At 38.2% G+C, this 26,931-nt stretch overlaps 1 protein-coding gene and 1 long non-coding RNA gene across 3 annotated transcripts in view; one reads left to right on the forward strand and one right to left on the reverse strand.

Moving 5' to 3' along the window:
- LOC105375623 (uncharacterized) overlaps positions 1-6,606 on the forward strand; it is a 31,769-nt gene extending 25,163 nt beyond the window's left edge. The window contains exon 5 of the long non-coding RNA NR_188044.1: positions 6,565-6,606. This is a non-coding gene — a long non-coding RNA (uncharacterized LOC105375623). The remainder of the gene's footprint in view (positions 1-6,564) is intronic.
- Positions 6,607-8,432: 1,826 nt separating this feature from the next.
- SLC7A13 (solute carrier family 7 member 13) lies at positions 8,433-24,751 on the reverse strand. 2 transcript variants are annotated; one of them, NM_138817.3, is made up of 4 exons: positions 23,963-24,751; positions 17,342-17,473; positions 11,840-12,201; positions 8,433-9,016 (listed from the first exon to the last, which is right to left on the reverse strand). In NM_138817.3, the coding sequence occupies exons 1-4, from the start codon at positions 24,645-24,647 to the stop codon at positions 8,783-8,785; spliced, it is 1,413 nt and encodes a 470-aa protein (NP_620172.2). In that variant the 5' UTR covers positions 24,648-24,751; the 3' UTR covers positions 8,433-8,782. The 2 variants fall into 2 exon arrangements, with proteins under 2 accessions (NP_620172.2, XP_011515169.1); XM_011516867.3 differs by having other exon boundaries at positions 23,990-24,750.
- Positions 24,752-26,931: the final 2,180 nt, after the last annotated feature.

Raw genomic sequence — 26,931 nt, forward strand, 5'->3', positions numbered from 1 at the left:
GGAGGAGAGGGGAGTGGGGAGGGGAGGGGAGTGGGGGAGGAAGGAAGGGAGGGAAATTAAAAAGAAGAGAAGAAAGATAAGAAAATCAGAAGACCAGTCCAGGAGGTCCAACATAAAAGTAATACAAATTTTAGAAAAAGAGAGCAACACAAATAAAGAGCAGGAATTTATCAAGGAAATTACTCAAGAAAATTTTCCCAAACCAAAAGAGAATATTTTCCATTTTGAAAGAGCCCACTGAAGGTCCAACACAATAGGTGAAAGTAGAGTCACAGAAAGTTGCAGTATTATTAAATTTCAAAATACTGAAGACAATAAAGTTTTAACTCTGAAATTTTAAGACTAGATGGAAAAAAGAAATTACAGGCCATCTACAAAAGATTAGGAATCAGAATGTGCTAAAAGGTCTAACTAGAGCAATTAGACAAGAAAAGTAAACTTAAAAATTAGAATAATTTTGATTTTCTCAAAAAAAGTTAGATGTCAGTGGAGAAATTCCTTTAAAATTTTGAAGAAAAAATATTTCCAAAGAATTGTATACGTTGCTCAAGTAGCAAGATAAAATAGATACTTTTTTATATATGGACTATCTCATAAAATTTGCCTCTCATTTCCTTTTTTATGACATCACAAAAGAATAAGCTTTTTCAAAACAAAAGAGTAAAGCAAAAAGAGAAATACTTGGGACAAAGGAAACAGGAGAAGGAAAGGGAATTCAGAGAATCCTGGCCAAGGAAGAACACAGGATAACTGCTGTGCTTGAAGCATAGAGAGTAATCAATTCAGATTGGATTATGTTAGAAAAAAAAAATTTTTTTTTGAGACAAGGTCTCACTCTATCACCCAGGCTGGAATGCAGTGGCGTGATCACAGCTTACTGCAGCCTTAACCTCCCAGGTTCAGGTGATCCTCCAGCCTCAGCCTCCCAAGTAGCAGGATTATGGGTGCATGCCATCACACCAGGCTAGTTTTTCTATTTTCTGTAGAGATGGGGTTTTGCCATGTTGTCCAGGCTGGTCTTGAACTTCTGACCTCAAGTGATCCACCTGCCTCAGCCTCCCAAAGTGCTAGGATTACAGGCATGAGCACTGTAATCCTGGCCTACCTTATTTTTTAAAAAGATAACAATAAGTTTGAGTGGTTCACCTTGGACCTATTAAATTATATTTTCCAGGGGCCTCAAATCTATGGTCTTCAAAGTCTTCCTTCATGATTCTAACAATAGGTTGGGTTCTGGAGTCACAGAGTTTGGAGACTGTTTCAGCAATACAGATGAGAAATGATGGTTGTCCAATCAATACTATGTCAGTAAAAGTGGAAATAAATGGGGAGATTAAAAAGGTATTTATTTTACAGAAGTGGAAAGAAGTGCTCATTAACACATCCATTAAGTAAACACTAACTTATTATCTGGTATCAATAATGAAGAGTATGAATGAGCATAATATCTGGCTCTTACATGGCCTATATGAACTACGCTCTTTTAATGTCACACTTAGCAATCCAGGTTCAAGAACACAGAATGCTTGTCATTTGTTACACCTGCAATTCAGGATCGAGAATGCTTGTCTTCAAACTATACATAGGGCTATAATAACCAAAACAGCATGGTACTGGTACAAAAACAGACACGTAGACCGATGGAACAGAACAGAGAACCCAGAGATAAGTCTACATATGCACAACTATCTGATGGTCTTCAACAATGTTGACAAAAACAAGCAATAGGGAAAGAACTCCCTATTCAATAAATGGTGCTGGGATAACTGTCTAGCCATATGCAGAAGAATGAACCGGACCCCTACTTCTCATCATATATAAAAATTAACGTGAGGTGAATTGAAGATTTAAATGTAAGTCCTCAAAGTTTAAAAATCCTAGTAGAAAACCTAGGAAATACCCTTCACGACATCAGCTTTGGGAAAAAAACTTACAGCGAAATTCCCCAAAACGACTGAAACCCAAACAAAAATTGACAAATGGGACTTAATTACACTAAAGAGCTTCTGCACAGCAAAAGAAACTATCAATATAGTAAACAGACAATCTACAGTATGGGAGAAAATATTGGCAAACTATGTATCTGACAAATGTCTAATATGCAGAATCCATAAATAAACAAATGAACCAGAAAAAAAAAATCCAATTAAAAAATGGGCAGAGGACATGAGCAGACGCTTCTCAAAAGAAGATGTATGGTCGGGCACAGTGGCTTACACCTGTAATCCCAGCACTTTGGGGGGCCCAGGCGAGTGGATCATCCAAGGTCAGGAGTTCGAGACCAGCTTGACCAACATGGCGAAAACCCGTCTCTACTAAAAATACAAAAATCAGCCGGGTGCGGTGGAGTATGCCTCTATTCCCAGCTATTTGGGAGTCTGAGGCAGGAGAATCGCTTGAACCCAGGAGGCGGAGGTTGCAGTGAGCCGAAATCATGCCATTGCGCTCCAGCCTGGACAACAAAAGTGAAACTCCGTCTCAAAAAAAAAGAAGAAGAAGAAAATGTACACTCAGCCAAGGAACATGGAAAAAAATGCTTAACAACACTAATTATCAGAGAAATGCAAATCAAACCACAAGTACCATCTCACATTAAGCAGAATGGTGGTTATTAAAAAGTCAAAAAATAACAGATGCTGACAGGGCTGTGGAGAAAAGGGAACGCTTATACACTGTTGTTGGAAATGCAAACTAAGCCACTGGGGAAAGTAGTTTGGAGATTTCTCAAAGAACTTAAAAGAGAACTGCCATTCAACTCAGCAATTCCACTATTTGGTATATACCCAAAGTAAAATAATTCATTCTATCAAAAAGACACAGGCATTCATATGCTCTTCACAGCACTATTCACAATAGCAAAGACATGGAATCAACCTAAATGCCCATCCATGATGGACTGGATAAAGAAAATGTGGTACATATACACCATGAAATACTATACAGTCCTTAAAAAGAATAAAATCATGTTCTTTTCAGCAACATAGATGAAGCTACAGGCCATTATCCTAAGCAAATTTATTCAGGAACAGAAAACCAAATGCTGCATGTTCTTACTTATAAGTGGGAACTAAACAATGAGTACACATAGACATAAAGATAGGAACAAGAGACAATGAGAACTACTAGATGGGGAGGGACAGAGGGGAGCATGGGCTGAAAAACCACCTATTGGATACTATGCTCACTACCAGCATGATGGGATCATTTGCACCCCAAACCCCAGCATTATGCAATATACCCATGTAACAAACCTGCACATGTACCTCTTAATCTAAAATACAATTTGAAATTTTTTAAAACAAGAAGAATGCTTGTCATTTGTTACACCTGGGAAGGATCTGAGAAATTACCCACTTTTGCTTTACAGCTAAATAAAGGGACACTTATTTTTTTCTTCACCTTAAAGTAATAGAAGTCCGTTACTTAGAAATATAATTCTGAAACTTTGCTCCCTATAAAGTTACTGTGACTTCTCTACATTCAGGTAGTTTGTTTCTCATGTTTGAAAATAAGCATATATGCTGTATTCTGGGAAATACTCCAGTATTCCCAACCCTCTGGCACAGAGCTGACACTTAAGCAAAGTGACTTTTTTTCTTCCTACCAGCTTCTTATACGAGATACTGAAGAAGCAGCAACTCAGAGAAGTCATCTGAGAGAGGCCTAGGCCTAATGGAAAGATGTGAACCGATTCATTGCAGAACAGTTATTTCCTTCGCAACCATATCATTAGTCAAGATAAGAAAACATGATGTAAACAGCAACATCCAGGTTCTTGCTTGTCAAGAATTCCCAATACTCTCTCTTTGTTTGCTGGGATGCCCTGGCATCAGGATCAGAATAATCCAGCTCTGGAGATTACCTGGCTGTTTCTCAAGTCTAGTTTAAGGTTTCTTTTGAAATACTGATCCCATCTTTTTGGCAGACATTGCTAATAATGGAGGCTCATAGTACTACATCTTGGGATGAAGTTTGAGACTTTTCCAGATTTCATATTTTAGTTCCAACTCCAACATGCAGATGAGTTACTACCTACAGAGATAAGCAAAATCAGGGTGGCCTTCTTGAACCAGCCTCTATAGCTGGAAGAGGTCACCACACAAACTGGGAATGGAATTGGATAATGAGGAGGACCTAGCTTCATGGGTTGAATAATGGCCTTCTTAAAAACAGATCTACAGGGAACATCAGAATGTGACCTTACTTGGAATAAGGGTCTTTGCAGATGTAAGAAGTTCGGGATCTTGAGACAGGAACATCCCGGATTTGGAGTGGGCCCTAAATCCAATGACTGGTATCCTTATGAGAGAAAGGAAAGGGAGATTTTTTTTATTTTAATTTTATCTTTTTCTTTTTCAACTTTTATTTTAGATTCAGGGGGTACATGTGCAGACTGGTTACCTGGGTACATTGCATGATGCTGAGGTTTAGGGTACAAATGATACCATCGGCCAGTTATTGAGCATAGGACCCAGTAGTTAGTTTTTTGACCCTTGCCCTTCTCCCCACTCCCTTATCTGATAGTCCCCAGTGTCAATTGTTGCCATCTTTCTGTCCACAAGTACCCTAAGTTCAGCTCCCATTTATAAGTGAGAACATATGGTATTTGGTTTTCTGTTCTTGTGTTAATTTGCTTAGGATGATTTTGGACTTCTGACCTCCTGCAAGAGAACAAATTTCTGTTATTTTAAGCCAATTGAATTTGTGATAATTTGTCATGGCAGCTCTGGGAAATGAATACAACCTCACAAAGCTATTTAAACATGTTCCGGGCTGGGTTCAATGGCTCATGCCTGTAATCCTAGCTCTTTGAGAGGTGAAGGCAGACTGATGGCTTGAACTCAGGAGTTCAAGATCAGCCTGGGCAACATTGCGGAACTCCGTCTCTAACAAAAATACAAAAAAATTAGGCAAGCTTGGTGGCATGCATCTGTAGTCCCAGCTACTTGAGAGGCTGAAGTGGGAAGATCACCTGAGCCTGGGAGGCCAAGGTTGCAGTGAGCAAAGATCGTGCCAATGGACTCCAGCCTGGATGACTGAGGCTCCATCTCAATAAAAAAAAATAGAATAATAAAAATTAAACTGTTCTGAATAGAGAGGAGGTAGAAGCTTCTCAGCTAGTGTCTGCTTTGCAAATTTCATGATACAAACAAGAGATAACCCTTGTTTATCTTGTTCCAAGATAACCTTGGAAGCCCTATATGTACAATAACAAAGCGATTACTTCTCAACTTCAAAGTATGTCACACACAACTCATTAATCTTCACAGCACACCTGTGTCAAATAGTTAAGTACCATTGGCCTCAATTCAGAGAGTATAGCAAATAAGTCCTTGCCTGAAGTCATCAAAGGAATTTTTTTTTTTTTTAGACAGAATCTCGCTCTGTTGTCAGGCTGGAGTGCAGTGGTGTGATCTTGGCTCATTGCAACCTCCACCTCTCGGGTTCAAGTGATTCTCCTGCCTCAGCCTCCCGAGTAGCTGGGACTACAGGTGCCTGCCACCACACCCAGCTAATTTTTGTATTTTTTGTAGAGACGAGGTTTCACCATGTTGGCCAAGATGGTCTCGATCTCTTGACCTCGTGATCCACCCACCTCGGCCTCCCAAAGTGCTGGGATTACAGGTGTGAGCCACCACACCCAGCCAGGAATTATTGATAAATGGCTTCAAAATAGACTCTTCTTAAAGGAAACATATCAGGAAGATGAATTACTGGTGGTCCCGAGTAGAACAAAAGGAATTGCCAAGCAGAAAATTTACTACACAAATATTTTGTAAGGGCTCATTTCCAAAATAATATAAAATATAAAAACTATAATGAAATTCATGTTGCAACTTTCCTTGAAGTCTTGAAATTTTATAACCCCTCTCTTGCTACCAGCAGCCAATTTCTTGTTATCTTGCTGTGGAACAAAAGTTTCCCTGAGAAACTGTATTGACCTATTAGACTTGCCGACGTACTGTCCCACACAGTCTTAGAATAGGCATGTCTCAGCCATGACTTACATGAAAGATGTAGGAAGTTTAAGTGTGTAGTGGTCCCAAAACAGTGAACAAAACTACAATATTTTAAAAAAGGGAAACGATAGATCCGCCCTGCTCTGCCATAGTCAGACCACATTCAGAAAGACTACATTGTTTACAGCATAAAAATTTAAGACATCTTTACATTAAAAAGGTCCTGGCAAGGTGTAGAGGGATCAAGGTTTTCAAAAGCGGCAACTTTGGACTACTAGGGGGTTTTAATCTGGAGAAGGCACAGAGCCACAAAATGGTTATCATCAAGTATCTAAAAGGATATCATGTGAAAGACGATTAGACTTACCAATAGACAGAAATTACATTGCAGCTTCATATCATTAGGAAAAGCTTTTGGAAAGCAAAGCTGTCTAAAGATAGGACCAGCATCTTTAGCAAGTAGTGATTCCCCCATCCCTGGGAGTATACAAACATAGATGAGCAAGTTACTTTGTGGGGCTGCTGTAAACATTTAAGATTTCTTCTAAATCTAATGTCAGTCAAATTGTTGGTTCTTCTCACTTGTAATTTAAATATCTTCCAGGTCTCCAGAATCTGAAGCTCTGCTCCTGAGTTTATAAAATGTGGATGACGTCTATGAAACTAAGCTCGGGAAGTATTTTGTCACATATTGTGTTGAAAGCTCATAGGAAGAGGAAAGTTGGGCAGTTGTCTAAGTATAGCGGAGGTTTATGTGAAGGGAATGTTGAACCATGAGGCTCACATAAGGCAACTGTCTTAAGAATAAATAAGTAGTATGCTATAAATAGATTATCTACCATGCTAAATTAAATATGTTATTGGCTTCTCCAAATAAACAGACCCATGGATGTGTATATGGAGAAAGAGAGAGAGGGACAGAGAGAGAGAGAGTGTGAGAGAATTTATTTTTAAGAAATTGGCTTGGCTCACGGAATCATGGAGGCTGGAGGCTGGCAAGTCCAAAATCTGTAGTGTGGCCTGGTGGCCTGACAGGCTAGAGACCCATGGAAGAGCTGATGTCGCAATTCAAGTCTGAAGACCATCTGCTGACAGAATTGCCTCTTGGGGAAGTCAGTCTTTGTTCTAGCAAGCACTTCAACTTATTGGATGAGGCCCACTCACAATAGGAAGGCAACGTGCTTTACTCGAAATCCAACTATTTAAATGTTAATCTCATCCAAAAAACACCCTTGCAGAAACATCCAGAATAATGTGTGATCAAATGTCTGGGCCCCACGACCCAGCCAAGTTGACACATAAGATTAACCATCATACCAGGGGATAGTTCCTCAAACTTGACAAGTCCTTCAACATCTGTGGATGCCACCTCTGAGGGATAAAGGGAGGCAGAGAACAGAGCTGGCTAACAAAGGTCACTGGACATCTTCCCACATTCCCACTTTCTGAAGACATCTCTAAACCAGATCTTTTAAAATTCTAAGCTATGCAGATGAATTTTTAAAATTGAATAATACTGGATGAGTGTGACTCCTGGGATGCTATCCACTCAACCATCTACTACACAAAGTTTATACACAACTACATCATTCCCAGTAGGTCACACTTATTAATAAATCAAGTGAAGACACAGTAATGCTGTTCTTCTAAGACATGTCCACATTTTTCTTAATGGCACTCAAAGAAAATTAACCTAAAGATTCACGCTTCTTATTTTTTTGAGACAGAGTCTCACTCTGTCAACCAGGCTGGAGTGCAGTGGCACGATCTCAGTTCACTGCAACCTCCACCTCCCGAGTTCAAACGATTATCCTGCCTCAGCCTCCCAAGTAGCTGTGATTACAGGTGCACACCACCACACCCAGCTCATTTTGTATTTTTGGTAGAGACGGGTTTTCATCATGTTGGCCAGGCTGGCCTCGAACTCCTAACCTCAAGTAATCCACCTGTCTCAGCCTTCTAAAGTGCTGGGATTACAGGCATGAGCTACCTCACCCAGCCCCATGCTTCTAAAATAGTTATTAGCTTGAAAAAAAATGGGGCCAGGCACAGCGGCCCATGCCTGTAATCCCAACACTTTGGGAGCCCGAGGTGGGCGAATCACAAGTTCAGGAGTTTGAGACCAGCCTAGCCAATATGGTGAAACTCAGTCTCTGCCAAAAATACAAAAATCAGCTGGGTATAGTGGCAGGTGCCTATAATCCCAGCTACTCGGGAGGCTGAGGCAGGAGAATCTCTTGAACCCAGGAGGTGGAGGTTGCAGTGAGCAGAGATCACACCACTGCACTCCAGCCTGGGCGACAGAGTGAGACTCCATCTCAAAAAGAAAAAAAAAAGTGCTACATTCTGGAAGGGAAAAGCCAACTGAAAAATGGAATTATTCTTTTCATTTTCAAATCAGCATCTTCCCCGGCCCCGCCCACCTCACACAAAAAGGACTCAGTAAGATGAAGAGAAGGAATGCTTTTAAAATTTTTAGTCATTCACTTTTATTATAGGATCCCCACAAATTCAGTAGAAAAGGGGTGGGATACAGAAAAAAAAAGTGAGAGAATGGAAGTTGTATAATCACTCTATCAAGCTACGCAAACCAGGACTTAAGTTTTTTACCATGCGAAGCAGAGCTTTTAGCAATTTCTTAGTGACTCTGAAGCCAGGTACTGTCTTAGGCACTTTTGTATACATTACTTATTTCATTTGAGAAAAAAATATTTACCATAGGAATTTCACCATGAATGTTCTATCATATGTTTAACCTTGATTTGGAATCTGATATATGTTTTTTAGAAGGCCAATTTTTTAAGAGTTTGCACTTCCGACATCTATTCCTCAGACACATCAGGGAGGCAAATATTAAATAGTAATTGTAAATAGCAAGTCATCTTCTCAAACCAAGCCAATCTTATTTTAAAATGTATTAAAGGTATGTAAAATAGTAATCCGCTGAGAACTAACAGAAGCACGTAGACATAATGCACATTTGGAGACTTTACCAATGGTATCACAACCAAGCCCACGTCGATGACTATTGTTGCTAATGGAAATGACAAAAACACCTGAAAAGAGCAAAGTTTGAAAAAATATTGGATATGAACATCCATGAATGATACCTGCATATTCATATAAATAAAAATGCAAAGATACAAGCTAATTAAAGAAAACAGGCTAAATTAGCTGTAAAGTTGAATAAATCTGGCTTAGAAGTCAGATAAATGCCTGAGTGAAAGGAGATGTTGAAGACTGTCATTGTCAGGTTGGAGGGAATGGGCATCTAGCATTTGACTGCTCATGAATGGAAATAACTAGAACCATTTGCTGGTAAGATCACTATCTACTGATCTGGGTACCATGAATCTGTTAAGAGGGAGTTTCTAAGGCCCAATGGAAGTAACAACAATCTTCTCTGGAAAATATCTCAAGGCAGTAAGAAATTCATGACAAAACAGAAAGACTATCCTCAGACTGTCTGTTACACAGGTAAATACTGACAGGTAAATGTTGTAACTTTATAGGCTCAGCATATTAAAAAAAAAATCAAGACAAAAATTTTAGCTAAAACAATTTTCCCTGTTTTATGTTTTGTTTTTGCTTTGCCAAAAGCCTTAAAGACCAGTCCCTGGTACCTGCTTTGTGTTAGAATTGTAAGAGTTCTCTACAACATTACCCAATCTAGGGAGAAAATCGATATAAGATATAACTGATATGAATCTATATTCCCCAAAGATATATATTACACAGCTAGTCATAATTTATGAAACAAAACCCTTTAATTAGAGGATCATTTGTTGGGATTTAATCATTAAGAATATCTTCTTGGCCGGGCACAGTTGCTTACGCCTATAATCCCAACACTTTGTGAGGTCAAGGTGGATGGATCACGAGATCAGGAGATCGAGATCAGCCTGGGCAACATGGTGAAACACCGTCTCTACTAAAATTACAAAAGTTAGCTGGGTGTGGTGGCAGGCACCTGTAATCCCAGCTACTTGGGAGGCTGAGGCAGGAGAATCTCTTGAACCCAGGAAGCAGAGGTTGCAGCAAGCCAAGATCATGCCACTGCACTCCAGCTTCTCCAGCCTGGACGACAAGAATGAGACTCTGTCTCAAAAAAAAGAAAAAACAAAGAATCTCTTCTTAGCTTATAAAGCGTCCCAGAAAAAGATACTTTATCATCTCATGGCTCAGTATCAGTTATCAAATAACTGAGAGAAAAGAAAAGAGCACTCCTGGGGGCATACAAGACAAATTTCAGCCACTTGTACTTAAGGCTGCCCTTGCCTTCCTTTCTGATGCAAATGTAAGTTGAATAATAATATAAGCAATAATAGCCATCAATGTCAGACCCTGGATTGTTTGCATGCCTTAGCTTACTTAATACCTCCAACGTTAATATGAGGTAGGTATTATTTTTTCCCATTTTAGATCGGAAGAAACTGAGGTTCAGAGGTTCAATAACAAGACTAAACTCAGCTACTAGCCAAGCAACTGGACTTGAGCCCAAAACTCTTAATGATTATCTTATACTGTTATTTGTATATAACAAATTTATCCTCCAGTTCATAACTTCTTTATAATTGTATCTATTAGGGTCAGTGATCTAACAAAATGTGGATCAGAAAACAGCAAAAGACATGTTAAAAAGATGCAGCATGTGAAACTATACAGAAAGCAGACGTTAGGCAGGCACCTCCAAGGGGGACTGTGGCCATCAGCCCTGCTCTAGATTAGATCTCTCTCCCTATGTGCTCTCTGAGCATCCTCTGCAGACCACTAGGTAGCAATCGTCACACCGTGATTTTTGGTTTACATGACTGTCCAGATAGATTATAACCTGCCTAAAAGCAGGAGCCAAGTCTTAATTCTTTTTCTACTGAAAGTACCTAGCAAGGTGCTTAAAATATAGTTGCTTCTTGACAACTAATACTCAAACACACAACAATTAAGAGATGACTGGTTGGAAGAAGTTGGAAAGAAGACTGGAAAGGAAGGACATAAATCAACCATAGTTGGTGATGAGAACATTGCTTTCTTTCTCTCAGCAGTTCTTTCTTATATTTTGTATTTAGCAAGATTTAAACACTCCAAAGAGACTGCCTAGATTTGAATCTTGGCTCTAATCCATGCTGTGTGAGCTTGAGCAAGTGACCTAACTTTTCTAAATCTGTTTTCTTATCTGTAAAATGGAAATAACAATTGAATCCACCTTTTTATTACTAAGAGGATTAAAGGTGATCATCCAAGCAAAGCTTTGAACATCCTACCTAGGCAACTAAGATTATTTTATTATTCTGATAATCAGACCGTCAGGGCCATCTTTCTCCAATAACGTTCTTATGCTACCAAGTTTTGCTGCTTATTTCCTTTTCTACAATTAAGTGGTTGTCTCCTCTCCTGTGAAAAGTTTTTTCATCCAGACTGAAAGTCAGTTTAAAATAAGTAAAGTTGAAAAGATGTAATTTGCCAACAAAGTAAGCTGATGTTTCAGAACAGTAGATGTTATCACTTGTGACCTCACCTTGCCTCTTCTGTTTCCCATCTGCTAAATCTGGCCCTGACTGTGGAAGACATTCATATGCATGACTAGTTACATAAGTAGACAAAATAATATCTGGTCAAAAGACTCATAATGATCTGTCCAACCACCCAGAGAACTATTTTTCTCTCTAATAAACCGTTAAATGGAATCTAAGAGATTTTTATATTGAATAACCTAGCCAATAAAAACGAAAATTAAAACCAAGACTAGATTATTCTCATGTGTTTCACAGTAACTGAGTATTCAGAAGATCTACTTATAGATGCTCTGATTATAATCTTAAATACAGTTATACTCAATATCTGTTATTTCACACAGAAAAGAATTAGAAATCCAATTTTACCTTATAAGGTATAGATAGATTGGGTTCCTGGTATCTCCGCCTTAGTATTCCTATCATTAATAATATAGACCATAATGAACCCGTGAAAAAAATATAGTTTATCAAATCAATTAGACTTGTTAAGATAATTGCAAGGGATCCCAAAGTGACAAGTAGTAGCACAGCTGTAAATGGAGAAGAGTGACTATTAAGTGTATTAAATAGCAAAGGCAGCTGGCCCTCTTGGCTTGCAAGATATATTGGTCTCGATGATTTAAATATAGAAATCAGAAGGTTGCTAAATAATGAGGTAGAAATAGCAAAAGGCATAATCCATGCTAATGAGGGAAAAGCTCGATCAGCCCATGTGATAGCTACAGCATCTGCAGAAAAACAAAAATACACAAAAGAAAATGTGTTAAAAGAGAAATACTAATGATAAACCTTTTAATATTATTTCAAAATGAAAACAGAAACTTAAGTAATTAATAACATTTAGTTTGCTTAATTTTATCATTTATTTCCTTAGTTACACCTACATAACACCTTATAAAGGTGTCTATTTGACTCCATCACACTGTATTGTAAATGGTTATCATTTTATATGTCTTCCCCAATAGACCAAGAATGTTTTTGAGGGCAAGGATAATCCATTTATTTTCTATAAAACTAGTGGATCACTCTGTGACAGACATCCAGTAGGCTTTCAATAAACACTTGTGAAATAAATTGATTTTGTTGAATGGATGATTGAATCCAAGCTTATTTTCTAAAACTAGTTTATAGAGTCCTGATAGTTACATTCAGAGTCCAAAAAGCACAGTGCAACACTACTGACACCAGAATGAGACTTTCCCACATCATGGTGCAATTTGAAATACTTAACAGAAAAAGGAACCATGTAGATGAAGAAAATAAGTTACACACCATTAAAAATATGTATGACATTCGGGACTTTTCTATAGACCAGTAATTCTCAATTGGAGTTAAATTTACTCCTCAGGGTCACTTGGCAATATCTGGAGACTTTTTTGGCTGTTACAACCGGGGAGGTAGGAGGTTGCTGCTGGTGTCTAGTGAGTAGAGGCCAAGGATGTTGCTAAACATCCTATAATGTACAGGACAATTCTCTACAACAAAAAATTATATAGTATAAAATGTTCATGGTACTAAGATTAAGAAACTAACCATTAGAGAATATTCTACTTTTTTTTTTTTTTGCTTAAAGATAAAAGATCTTATGAGTACTAATTTAATAAAAGTCCACAGGAACAAAACACAACTGTGAAGAAAAGCATCCATTGTTTGTGAGAACCCACTTGATTCAGTTCATATTATGTGGATATATGCTAGGACAGATCACTCAGTCAGAGAGAAACAAATTATCAGTTTTTCAATGGAATGAGCACAATGGGGCCTGAAGTCCCTGGGGGTAGATGTCCTTGGAGCCTATGTTCTTGTGCCAAGGTTTGTTTCCAGGGGTACTTTTGGGACATCAACATACTGGCTTATAACACAAGGTAGGACTTCCCAAATGCGACAAAATTAAAATATCATTAATAGCTCTTGTTCTTAAAGATATTTATTTTTTGTAACCCTTTTTAAATAGCCTCAACTGCCATTTTACTTTTTTCCTTAGCCTTAGTGCTATTCTACAACTTTGGATCTTTCTTAAAAATATCTTGTCTCATTTATTGTTCTTCTCAGGAAGATATTGTTGGTTGTTTCTCCTGGACACCCATACCTCCACAAATTTCACATCTTCAGTCACATTTCCAAAATATTTCTTTCCAGTAAGGCAAAGGAAATTCCCCTTCAATTTCCCAGTGTGCATTCTACAAATGTGGTTAGTTATAACTTGAGGAGGATCAGGTGCAGCTCCGTCAGTGCTGGCTGGCAAAAACTATACATCTTTCTACATCATCTTTAGCTCTATGCCACAAGGGATGTTTTTTCTTTGTGACTCTGTCCACATGTTGTTTCTTTTCTTTTAAAAATGATTTCATATATGTTTTAGGTGAAAAGTAAAATAAATGGCACTGAAGAACATGAAGTGAAAAGTAAATGTCCCTCTCCTCACCAGCCTCCCATTCATGCGGAGCAATGTAACTACCATTAACAGCTGTTTGGATCCTCTTCTAGAAATTTTGTATGAATGTATAAACATCTATTAGGGTTGTATATGAGTCTGCATGTATTTGTATGCTCACTTAGGCTTGCTTTTTCATGTTCATCTTGCTCTTATTGGTACATTTGCATGCATCTAATTCTTCTAGCAAGTTCTCAGTATTCCATTATATAACTGTCATTGCGTTTATCTACCCATTTCATACTGTTTTATTTGTAGCTTATTTTCAATTTCTTGCTAATATAAAAGGGGCTTTAATGAAAACACTCATTCCTCCCATTCTTGATAGTTGTTCAAGTCTCCTTAGAGTAAATTCTTAGAAGTGGGCCTTGTGAGTCCAAAAGTATATACATTTTAAAATAAGGATGATATTACAAAATTGCCCTCCAAAAATAATTGCATCAATTTACCAATAAGCGATTCTAAAATTCTCACTTTCTCTTCAAAATTCTTTTATTATTAATTAATTTATTTATTTATTGTCTATCATTGGCTATCTTATCAAAATTTTTAACAACATCTGGGTACTTGGGACCAGCTACTTTTAGGCTGCATCTGGACAGGGAAACCTCAGCTTCTGCTTCCATAAAATGTATTTACGGTTTTAGATTATCTGATCCTATGCCAATTTTCTCTAGTTTTAAATATGGCATGGAACTCTCAAGAAAATCAAATGTGAGCACCCCTGTCAGCAGTGTGTGGCAGACCTTTAGGAACAATGAAATCCTCAGTTTTCAAAGCTGGGACAGGGCTCCTCACTAAGGCATTTCCATACACCTTTTTCTAGAAGAACACCCTTCCCTTCTCAGTTGTGAAACTTATTCATAATAAAGGCTATTTTATTTCCTAAGAGAAAAATAGGTGAAGAAACAAGTCAGAGCTCTGACACGGACACAGACAAAAACATTACATGATTAATACCATTCTTTCTTTTTCTATCTAAACCACAAATATTAGAATCTAATATTTATCGCAGCCTGGTGTAATTCTTTCAATGTTCCTTAAATAAAATGTAGTATCCAATTCCTGCCACATCATGGATGCTCTATATTCATATGGAAACTTTTCATATTTTTTACATATACTTGTTTGATTGAAAAAAATGCATCCCTTAATCGTTAAAATTTCTTAATTTAAGAAACTATATTTGGGCCTAGTGGCTCACGTCTGTAACCCCAGCACTTTGAGAGGCCAAGAGGGAGAATCAGTTGAGGTCAGACCAGCCTGGCCAACATGACAAAACCCTATCTCTACTAAAAATACAAAAATTAGCCAGGTGTGGTGACCCATGCCTGTAATCCCAGCTACTCAAAAGGCTGAGGCACAAGAAGCGCTTGAACCTGGGAAGTGGAGGTTGCAGTGAGCAAGATTGTGCCACTGCACTCCAGCCTAGGCAACAGAGCAAGACTCTGTTTCAAAAAAAAAAAAAAAAACTATTTCTTTTGCTTATAACTTTCCCCCTTATTACACAAATTTTGCACTTTAAAGAAAATTTGGAATATTCAGTGCAAACAATAAAGTAAAAATCACATACAATATCATTCCCATTGATCACCATTGTTAACTACTTATTTACTGTTTTATATCATTATATACATCCTGACTTTTTCCTCATTATTGATTTAACATTGCCCCTTTTCTTCAAGTATCCATCAACAATATCATCTTTTACAAATCACAGAATGTTCTATTATATAGATTTCCCATAAATTTTTTATTTGTTTCAAGCTTATTGGATATTTTTATGGTTTTTAATTTTTTGCTATCATACATAAAGCTATGATTACTATACCTATACATACATTTTTCATGTATGACTGATTATTTTCTTAATTTAAATTTCTTGTACAATAAACACGCAGATATTTGGACTTAAAAAGATTAATTTAGAATTTTTTTTTATTATACTTTAAGTTTTAGGGTACATGTGCACATTGTGCAGGTTAGTTACATATGTATACGTGTGCCATGCTGGTGCGCTGCACCCACTAACTCGTCATCTAGCATTAGGTATATCTCCCAGTGCTATCCCTCCCCACTCCCCCCACCCCACCACAGTCCCCAGAATTTAAACAAAAAGTCTAAAGATGATATGCCTAAAAAAGTAAGCATTGTAGCCAAATTAAAAGTGATGATGGTCAAAACACTTCACGAGTCTTCCACACATGCCAAAATCATTGTGCCATCTACAAAATTGCTATAATCATTATTACACCGAAGGAGATATTCATGATTTTTTAACAACCCGTATGGACGGAGCACTGGTAGTCATAACAGACGCCAGCTTCAATGAACCGTAACAATGGTGCTAGCTGACCAGCAGCCCCAACCACACCCACAATTAACTTTGTAAATTTATTCTTTACATAATCAAGGTAGTTAATAAATCACTGCTTGTTCTGATCTGAATTTGCATTTGGTTTTTTCCCACAGACACTCAGAAGCTTGAATCCATCTAGTTTATAGGTCCCTAAGATAGCTAGACCATTATGAATCAGCACTGATACCATATGGCATCACCCTGCAGGGCAGTAACATAAGAATTGAGGCAAAGTTTACCAGAATTTTATATCAAAATCTCCCTTAGGTTTGCGTCCATGCCTCAAAGATTCACCAAACCAATAATAGCTGCTCAAAAGACATTAGTCCTAAAGGTACTGGGTGATAGGTTTATCTTGTGAGGTCGTTTAATGCTGGCTTGAGGAAATTACTAGTCTTCCACTTTCCCTGTTTCTCATTTCTTTCCAAATTTCTTTTTATTCGTTGATCTGTTACTCATTTTTCAATGTATATTTATTTAAAATTTTCTCATTCTTTTATTCTTTATTCTACAATTTGGTCTCTAAGATAGCTATTTTTTGGTCAGATTTCCAATATGTTCAGGACACTTTGCCACCATAAATTTTAGAGTTGTTCATGGTAAACCGTATTATTTTAACATCAATATTAATTATATGCATCAATTGAACATTAGCATCTACTCTTTTAACTGCCAATATTCTACACTTCGAATTGATCATTTTTTGTGACACCTAGAAAAACATTGAGACTCAAACATTTTGAAAGTTTTAAAATCGATGTAAACAGTGATTACTCAGTGTCACTCTAGTGAGATGAGATCATGAAAGGAATACTAATATTTTGAATCTGATCTACACCATACATCAACATTATATACATCTTTCCATATTATTAGAAAAGGCATAACCATGCTTAAAGATGAATCTCCTTTCTAAGACAAATCATTCCCTTTGGCCCTCTGTTATTTTAGAAAATTATAAGTTGATTCCATATATAGAATAATGAACAGTAAACAGTGGTTCTGACTGGTGAAATGATAGTTACGTTGAAAGGACCAGCACTTTATTTATTGCTTTAGCCATTTGCATACAAACCTGAAGAGAGAATTTCCCTGGGTGTCAGAACAGTCAGATAGGAAATGTTAACCAGTAAATAAACTACAGTCACCAGAGGTAACGCAGTAAATATGCATTTGGGAATTGTTGTTCTGGGCTTCTTCAGCTCCCCTATAACACAAAAGAGGACACAACCATAATTGGTAAACATTATTTCTAAAATTCATTATTTTTAGATTATTATTTTTGTATTTGTATAAATTAATGGGGTACAAGCATGATTTTATTATGTGGATAGGTTGTGTGGTGGTCAAATCAGAGTTTTAGTGTATCCATCACCTGAATAACATACATTGTACCTATTAAGTAATTTTTCATCATCCACCTGTCTACTCCCTCTCCCTTCCAAGTCTCTGTGGTTCATCATTTTACTCTCTACATCCATAAGTACACATTTTGTAGTTAATTATGAGTGAGAAGGTATAATATTTCTTTCTATTTTTGAGTTATTTCACTTAGGATGATGGTCTCCAGCTGCATTCATGTTGCTGAAAAAGACATGATTTCATTCTTTTTTATGGCTCTGTAATATTCTGTGGTATATTATACACACACACACTAGTGTTGTGATAAACATGAGTGCAGATGTCCTATTCATTTATTTTCTTTTGGGGAGATACCCAGTAGTGGGATTGTTGGATCAAATTGTAGTTCTATTTTTAATTCTTTGAGAAATCTCCATACTGTTTTCCATAGATATTATACTAATTTACATTCCCACCAACATTGCTCCATGTGTCAACAATTGGGCTAGGCTCTTCTTATTCATTCAGCCACCACCACTACACATACACTAAAATGCACACACACACACACACACACACACACTGGTGGACTGCTACACACCCACCTGCCTAATATAGCTAAATGAAGAAAAATATGAAATATGCTTCATTTTCTCCATAGATGGCAAAATTTCTGAAGATAGACTTAAGAATGAAAAATGAAATCGGAGCCCATAAGTCCTGTACCATTTGAAGCCCACTTATGTGTTTAGCCTCATCTATTAAGTCCTAGGCATTGAGTTTGGATAGTGGGAATACAATGGTGAGCAGAAACTACATGAAATTTGACCTCAAGAAGAAGAGCTACACATGAGTTAAATAATTGCATAAATAAAAGGTTAAAATACTAGTGACTATGGTAAGTGTCTATATGAAAAGAAACAAGGTGCTATGGAGATATATTATGTGACAATGTGACAGTTTCTCTTGCTATCTGTGTTTTATATATAGACTGACTGGCCTTTGCAGTTCCTCAACAATGTCCTATCCCTTCTTGCCATAGGGTCTACTCTCTTATGTGGAATGTTCTTTCCTAGTTGCCTAGTTGACCCTACCCTTCCTTCAGATCTCAGGAAAATAATTACTTCTGGGAAACTAGGAGAGGAAACTCTCTCCCTGGCTAGCAAAATTTTCCTATTATACATTTCTCATACTGTATATTGAAAGGAGTTAAAGAGCCCATCATAAATTATCTCTTCCTGTATGCTCTTGACCATTCCTTTATGCCAATATTAAGTGCAAAAAAAGGCCAAAAAAGTTGATATTTAGCATCATATAGAGTGGATTCTCTAGGACAGTTTTATTTTTAAATATTGTTCCATTCATCACACCATTTCCCCAAATTTTGTCCTACCCTGAGAATTGCTCTGTGGCATGAAGAAATGATCATCTATAACCTTAATATACAATGGCACCCTGTGCCCTGCCCAGTGGAAAGGAACAAAGAACAGACATCCGATCCACTGGAAGCCAATGATTTTCGGTATACAGGAAAATTTATCTCAAGAATTTGAAACAAAGTTCAAGAGAAAAGCAACGTAATGGTGTTAAAAAAGAAAGGAAGATGAGAAAATTTGTTTTTTTTTAATTTCTAGAACTTCCCTATTTTTTTCATATTTATTTATTTATTTTATAGAGACGGGGGTCTCGCTATGTTGCCTGGACTGGTCTTGAACTCCTGGCCTCAAGCAATCCTCCAGTCTAGGCCTCCCAAAGTGCAGATTAAAAACGTGAGTCACCATGTCCAGTCTGCTTCCCTATTTTTTGTTGCTTCCTAAGATGTGTTGCACAAATCTTCCTTAAAATATAGCATTATCCTTCCAGTAAGTTCCCCTTTTATTGTTTAAGTTAATGTATGTGGGTTTCTGCTACTTAAAACCAAATCCCCTTTACTAATAAATATCTATCATTTGACTATATCAAATTTCTTCCATCTGTGTCTGCCCAGGGGTTGGATCTAATGCCCATGGGGAACACTAATCTGAGCTGATTAAGAACTTGATTAGTAAAAAATTAGAAGGTTTTAATTTTAACCCTGCCCGCACCACTTTGGCTGTCAAGGTTTCAATCTCCTTATAGTGAAAACTGTAGGGACAACAAAATTCCAATCCTAGTGTTTAGCATATAATAAGTGCTGAATAAATGGTTGTTGTTAATTACTATAGTTATTAAAGCTTTGGGACAAACAAAAGGGCAATTTTTTGGATTATCTGTTCTTTCTTCTGAGCCTTTTACTTGTTCTCATTATGTACTTGATATGTAAAGAGGAGATGGAGATTACAATTTAATTTATAATAAAAAGTTATAATAGCCAGACAAGCGACAAATATCCTTGACTCTTGAACTTAAAAGATGGGTATTCCGGCCGGGTGTGGTGATTCACGTCTGTAAACCCAGCACTTTGGGAGGTCAAGGCAGGTGGATCACTGGAACCCAGAAGTTCAAGGCCAGTCTGAGCAACATGCCAAAACCTCGTCTCTACTAAAAATCCACACACAAAAAAACTTAGCTGGGCATGATGGTGAGTGCCTGTAGTCGCAGCTACTCAGGAGGCTGAGGTGAGAGAATCAATCAAGCCCAGAAGGTCAAGGCTGCAGTGAACTATGATTGCACAGCTGCACTCCAGCCTGGGTGATAAAAAATAGAATTTTTTTTTTAAAAAGATGGGTATTCCTACACCTTGCAAAGTCGCCTGTCTACAAGTCACTATTTTGCAGGTAAAAGGGTTACTTAAAACTTAGATGTACTTAAGACTTATTTTGTAAATTAACTCCAGCACACACTGAAATTCCTCCAACTTTTGTTCACCACTAGCGGCTTGTGAGGAACTCCATAATAGTTTATAGGTCAGTAAGAATAAATTCTGTAAGTATATTTTCAGCTGACAATAATTATCTAACAATGAAACATCTCTGCAATGGGATACAATGAAACTGGCTCAAATAAAAATCCAGAAATATTGCTTCTAGCCTTGAAAGCAAGAAACAATGAGATTTGCTCGTTATGCCAGCTGCTGAAATTGGCCCATTTAATCACAAGCCATGTAAAACAGTAATCTCCTCATAGCTTTCTTTTCTCAATACCTTATTTTTAACTCAATGCAAACTGACTTCCTCTCATGTTCAAAATTCACCAATGACTTCTTACATTATCAATGATGGCGCTCCAACCAGTCCTCATGATCCTTGACTTCTGAAGCATTTAACCAGATAGATTATTCCCCACTTTTTGAAACATATTGTGATTTTCCTCTATACCACTCTGAGCCTCCTCTGGCTTCCTCACTGAATCTTCTTTCTCTACCTCCTGCTTAAAAGTTGGCATTGTCCAGTCATCTGTCCCCCTCCAACCCTATGCCGTTTCATCCTTCGTCTCTATGTACTTGCCTTAGTAATCAATCCTATGTATTTTGTCCTTCGTCTCTCTATGTACTTGCCTTAATAATCGTATCTAATACCAAGACTCTCAGATGGAAACCATTTTGTAGTCACCTGAGGTTGCATGCCTTGTCTTATATCTACACTGCATGCTTCTATTCTCCACGGCTTCACTCATATTTTTCTGGAATTTTGTGGATTCAATTCAAATTGCCACTTTTCCACTCAGTGACAGCAAAAAGTGACCTTTCTATTGATTTCCAAGGTAATTATATTGTTCCGTTATGGCTATCTATTAAATACTGTATCAAATTATTTGTTTATAAGGCACAGAATTATAGTCATTTTAAACCATGATGTACATTTTGCAGATAATAAAAAAGAGGCTAGAAAGGAGAAAACACTTGCTATAGTTGGTAATGGCAGACCCAAATCTAGGTATTGCCTCTTCTACTAGACTGTAAGCCTTTTTGATAAAGACTATATCTTACTCATCTTGAGGCACCAGTACAGGGTTTTAAAAATAGTCTTTGAAAAGATAGTGGCTACTCAAATGATTTCACAAATGATAGATAAATTAGTGGTGGGGGACCTGAGATTAGAAAAAGTTTTGTTCAGTAGTTAAGAGTCTGATACATATATAAATAACAAGGAAAAGAACTGATTTTTTAGAAAAGATTGAAAGTGAGAAAAAATGAAATAAAAGAATGTGAAAAGTCCTTAAGGGGATGGGAGGGAAAAGATAAAGAATTCAAGGGAAAAGACCAACTTTGAAAATGAAAAGATGAAAACTTCTGTCTAACATTGAAGGGAAGTGTATACAGCCTCAGAGCAATCTAGAATATCTATGCTTCTCTGCTCTTTAAAGATACTTAAGAACCTACAAAGAACAAAAAACAGAACTACCATTTGACACAGCAATTCCACTACTGCGTCTCTACCCACAGGAATAGAAATTGTTATATCAAAAAGACTTCCGCACTTGCATGTTTATTGCAGCACTGTTCACAATAGCAGTCATGGAATCAACCTAAGTGTCCATCAATGCATGACTGGATTTTTAAAAAATGTGGTATATACACACCATGGAATACTACACAGCCCTAAAAAGAATGAGATCATGTCTTTTCCAGCAATGTGGATGCAACTAGAGACCATCATCCTAAGAGAAACAATTCAAAAACAGAAAATCAAATACTGCATATTCTCACTTATATATGGGAGCTAAACAGTAAGTACACATGGATATACAGAGGAAATTGTGACACTGAGGATTCCAAAAGTGGGGAGAGTGGGTGGGGGGTAAGGGTTGAAAAATTACCTATTGGGTACAGTGTTCATTGTTAGGGTGATGGCTACACTAGAAGCCCAGACCTCACTATTATACAAATAAATCCATGTAACAAACCTGTACATGATCCCTGAATATATAAAAATAACAATGCTCAAGAGCACAGTAAAAGTGCAAGGCAAAATCCAGCACTTGTTGCTCTGCTCTGATGTTCTGAGTGAACCAAGAAGATGCTGTTCCACTTTGGCACCCACTTCAGTCAGCTGCCCAGTGCTGTCATTGCAGACAAGGGGTCTGAACTGCTGGAGAATTTCCTGTTTCGGGTGTCCAGGGAGTACTTGTCTGGAGGGTAGGGAAAGGAAGTGAGCCTCTTTCGGGCTCCTATAATCCTGGTTACAGTATCTTCGCATTGTTGGCTAATTTATTAGTTATTTATTTTTCTTGTTTTGAGACAGGGTCTCACTCTGTAGCCCAAACTGGAGTGCAGTGGTGCAATCATAGCTTACTGCAGCCTCAAACTCCTGGGCTCAAGCGATCCTCCCACCTCAGCCTCTTAGTAGCTAGGACTAAAAGTGTGCACTTCCACACTCAGATAATTTTTTAAGAAATCTGAGGAGGTGGGCAGGTGCAGTGGCTCACGCTTGTAATCCCAGCACTTTCGGAGGCAGAGGCGGGTGGCTCACATGAGGCCAAGTGTTCGAGACCAACCTGGCCAACATGGTGAAAGCCTGTCTCTACCAAAAATGCAAAAATAAGCCAGGCATCGTGGTGCACACGTGTAGTCCCAGCTACTCTGGAGGCTGAGGCAGGAGAATTGCTTGAACCCAGGAGGAGGAGGCTGCAGTGAGCTGAAATCATGCCATTGTACTCTGGCCTGGGCAACAAGAGGAAAACTCTGTCTCAAAAAAAAAAAAAATCTGAGGAGAGGGATCTCACTATTTTGCCCAGGTGGTCTCAAACTCCTAGCCTCAAGTAATCCTCCCATTTCAGCCTCTCAAAGCATTGGGATTATAGGCATGAGACATCACACCCAGCCCTATTTTAACTTTTAAATGCATCCAAGGTTGCTGTAGGGTGACTGCTTTTATAATGCACAGATGAAAATTATAGCTTTATCATTAATCAGAATGCTTGACGTGAAAATGGTCAAGTGCAAGTAAAATCAATTTGTATTATTACATTCATCAATGAAAGGAAAAAATTATAATAAAATATAAAACATAACTCCAAAAGTAAGTAAATAAAAATACTTAGAGCCTCAATGCGTCATACCTACCTACAACACAAACATAGTCTGGCATTGGATCATTCCTGGATTTACAGTTTCATGGGTGAGGAATATTTTCACAACCCCAGCATTCATCCATTAACAGAAAGGAAACAGATTAACACAGAAGTCCCATACCTGTGGTCCCAGAAAGGAAAGTTGAAAAAGAGAAGTTGTTCAATCAAATAAGTACCTTAGCCTAAATAGGAAAATAATTAAGAGTAGGTAACAAGTGCCAGGCTGGCATGATCTGATTCAGAAAGTCACAAAGAAGAAAGAAACATTAAATCATTTAAGACTCAAAATACAACAAATGATATGCATTTCATATTGTATGCAATAAGTCATGATTTTAGATTTTTTTCCTCAATGGATTGTTACCTGCTATAAGTGTAAAGCATGCCCCGCCTGAATATGCAAAATATCCTTGGAAGATGGCTTGTATAAGGTGAGAGATATCTGGAAGTTCAGCATCAAAAGCATTCTGAAATCGTTCTACATTCTCCTTTTTCCCTCTTATCAGGAACACTACTCCAGTTAGGGAAATGAAGCTAAGTATGGACACTTTCAGCACTGAGCTAGCTATCTGAAGCCAAGTCACTTCTTTCACACCACGAGAAGTCAGAATTCCTACAATCCACAACATGGCCAATGCCAGACATTTCTTAGGCAGCTTTGGGACAGAGCAGCTGGGAAAAAAAGGCTGGATGCTGTACTCAGCAAGGAGCAGAGCTTGGCCAGCAACTACCCCTGACCCCAGAAACAAGGATGTCCAGAGATTCAAAAAAGCAACCGTGGAGCCAAAGTATCTCTTGAGAAAATAGTATTGAGCTCCACTGCATGGGAAGCTTATACTTATCTCTGCAGAGCAAAGAGTTGATGTCATGGCCAGTATGGCACAGCCAGCCCAAACGCACAGGGAGACTCCCACGTTCATGCAAGAGTATGCCAACACACCTTTGGGGGACACAAAAATTCCTGCACCAATGATATTAATAAGCAAAAAACTTGTGCCCCACCAATATCCAAACACTCTCTTGAGCTGTATTTTCTCCCCTCTATCCATTGTAATTGAAGAGTTTTAAAATTCTATATAAATTACAATTTCTAGATTTTCCTGCCTATGTAGCTGCAAAGGATGTTGATGGATTCCTGAAATAAAATAATTCTGTCCTTCCTGTTCCATTTTCGTTAAGTATAGCCTGGTTTTAATAATTAACAAAATAGAGGTGGAAGGTGGGGACAAAAAATAATAAGTAACAAAATATATGTGACACATTCAATAAAATAGACCAAGATGTAGAAGGGTTTGGTCTGACTTGTCTTTCAATTATCATCAAAAGAATGCATTCAGATTTTTTTTTTTTTTAAAAAAAAGGAATTTCCAAGAAGACATGGATTACAGTGCAAAGTTGGGGCTTCCTACTCTACTTCACTGCTTCCCAAATGCCTTCCCAGTTCCCTGCTCTGGAAACAATCATTTTATTTTACTTTATTTTATTTTTTGAGACAGAGTCTCACTCTGTCACCTGGGCTGGAGTGCAGCCTTGACCTCCTGGGCTCAAGTAATTCTTCCACCTTAGCCTCCCAAGTAGCTGGGACTACGGGCATGAGCCATCACACATGGCTAAGGTTTTTGGTGGTTATTGGTTTGTTCTTGGTGGCTGTTGTTTTGTTTTTGGTAGAGATGGGGGGTCTCACTTTGTTGCCCAGGCTGGTTTTGAACTCCTGTGCTCAAGTGATCCTCCCACCTTGTCTCCCAAAGTCCTGGGATTAGAAGCCAACCATTTTAAAGTATGTATGGTTTTAGATCTTTTTGGTGCTTGTCTTCATAGCTCTAAATAATATAAAAAGACTTTTATTTCTAAATATCTCAACTTTAGAAAGCAAATACTGACCTCTTCCCATGAACACTGAGGAATTAGTTCACTGTCCTTTTACTGCCTTGACTCTCTCTTCTTCACATTTTTTTAAATCACTAAGCTTTCAGGAAACAATTTTATCAGGCTTATATTACCAGAAGCTAATTAGCAAGGCAAGGGAGGGAAATGCTCTGAAACATAAGCCTGTCTTTTAACCAGTCACCTATCATTCTGGTAGCCTTAGTCACATACAGAAAATTGTGAACAGAAAGTACAAGAGAAAGAAGACCTGGCCCCAGGGGCAGAGGGAAGGAGGGTCCTAACCATCTTGTCCTAACCTACAAGTCTAGGGCTTTAGTAGCTCCCACATTTGTCGACTTTATAATGCAAAGCCCTGTCCTGAGAATTTCCAAAGTCTCATAAACCTGGAGCACATATAAGCCTAGGAAATAAGTATTTCTGTCTCTCTGTCTCTCTCTCTCTCTGTCTGTCTGTCTCTTTTTTAAGCTGGGACTAGAGGGGTGTGCCATGACACCCAGCTAACTTTTGTGGGTTTTTTTTTTTCAGTAGAGATAGGGCTTCCCCATGTTGGCCAGGCTGGTCTCAAACTTCTGACCTCAGGTGATCCACCTGCCTCTGCTTCCCAAAGTGCTGGGATTACAGGCATGAGCCACTGCGCCCGGCCTAGTAAAGTATTTCTCAATTGTCCCCTCAGAGTAAGTGAAAGTGAAATTGCTTGGTTTTGCTTTGGTTTGGGAAAACTGGCTATTTTCTGGCAGATTGCATCCAAGAAAATTCACTGATAATACTACATAGTGATATAGGGCTGAGTGCAGTGGGTGGCTCATGCCTGTAATTCCAGCACTTTAGGAGGCCAAGGTGGGCGGATCACCTGAGGTCAGGAGTTTGAGACCAGCCTGGCCAACATGGCAAAACCCCATCTCTACTAAAAATACAAAAATTAGCCGGGCATGGTGGTGCCCACCTGTAATCACAGCTACTAGGGAGGCTGAGGCAGGAGAACTGCTTGAACCTGGGAGGTGGAGGTTGCAGTGAGCTGAGAGTGGGCCACTGCACTCCAGCCTGGGAGACAGAACCAGACTCTGTCTCAAACAAACAAACAAACAGAAAACTACATGGATTTCGGTAAACACAACTAGATCCATGTCCCAAATAAAACCATGCCTTGTTTCTTCTCTCGGAGAGCAAGGACCTGGGAGTGTGAAAAGAATACCAGAAAGTTCTCCATAAGATAGTGTTACTGAACCAGGCCTATTTTGTTCACAGCACAGTATGCCAATGACCAAGATGATGAGTTTTCCGAAAAAGAAAGGATTTATTCCTTTCTTTTTAAGCCAAGTGAAGAGATGGGAGTTCAGGTCTCAAATCTGCCCTCCTAAAGATGGGGTTTAAGAATATTTATGGGACAGAGGAGCAGGGTGGTCTGAGGCATGGAGAAAGGTGGCTGGGGATAAGGAAAAGTGAGAT

The sequence above is a fragment of the Homo sapiens genome, chromosome 8, assembly GCF_000001405.40.
Source record: "Homo sapiens chromosome 8, GRCh38.p14 Primary Assembly".
Lineage (NCBI taxonomy): Eukaryota > Metazoa > Chordata > Mammalia > Primates > Hominidae > Homo > Homo sapiens.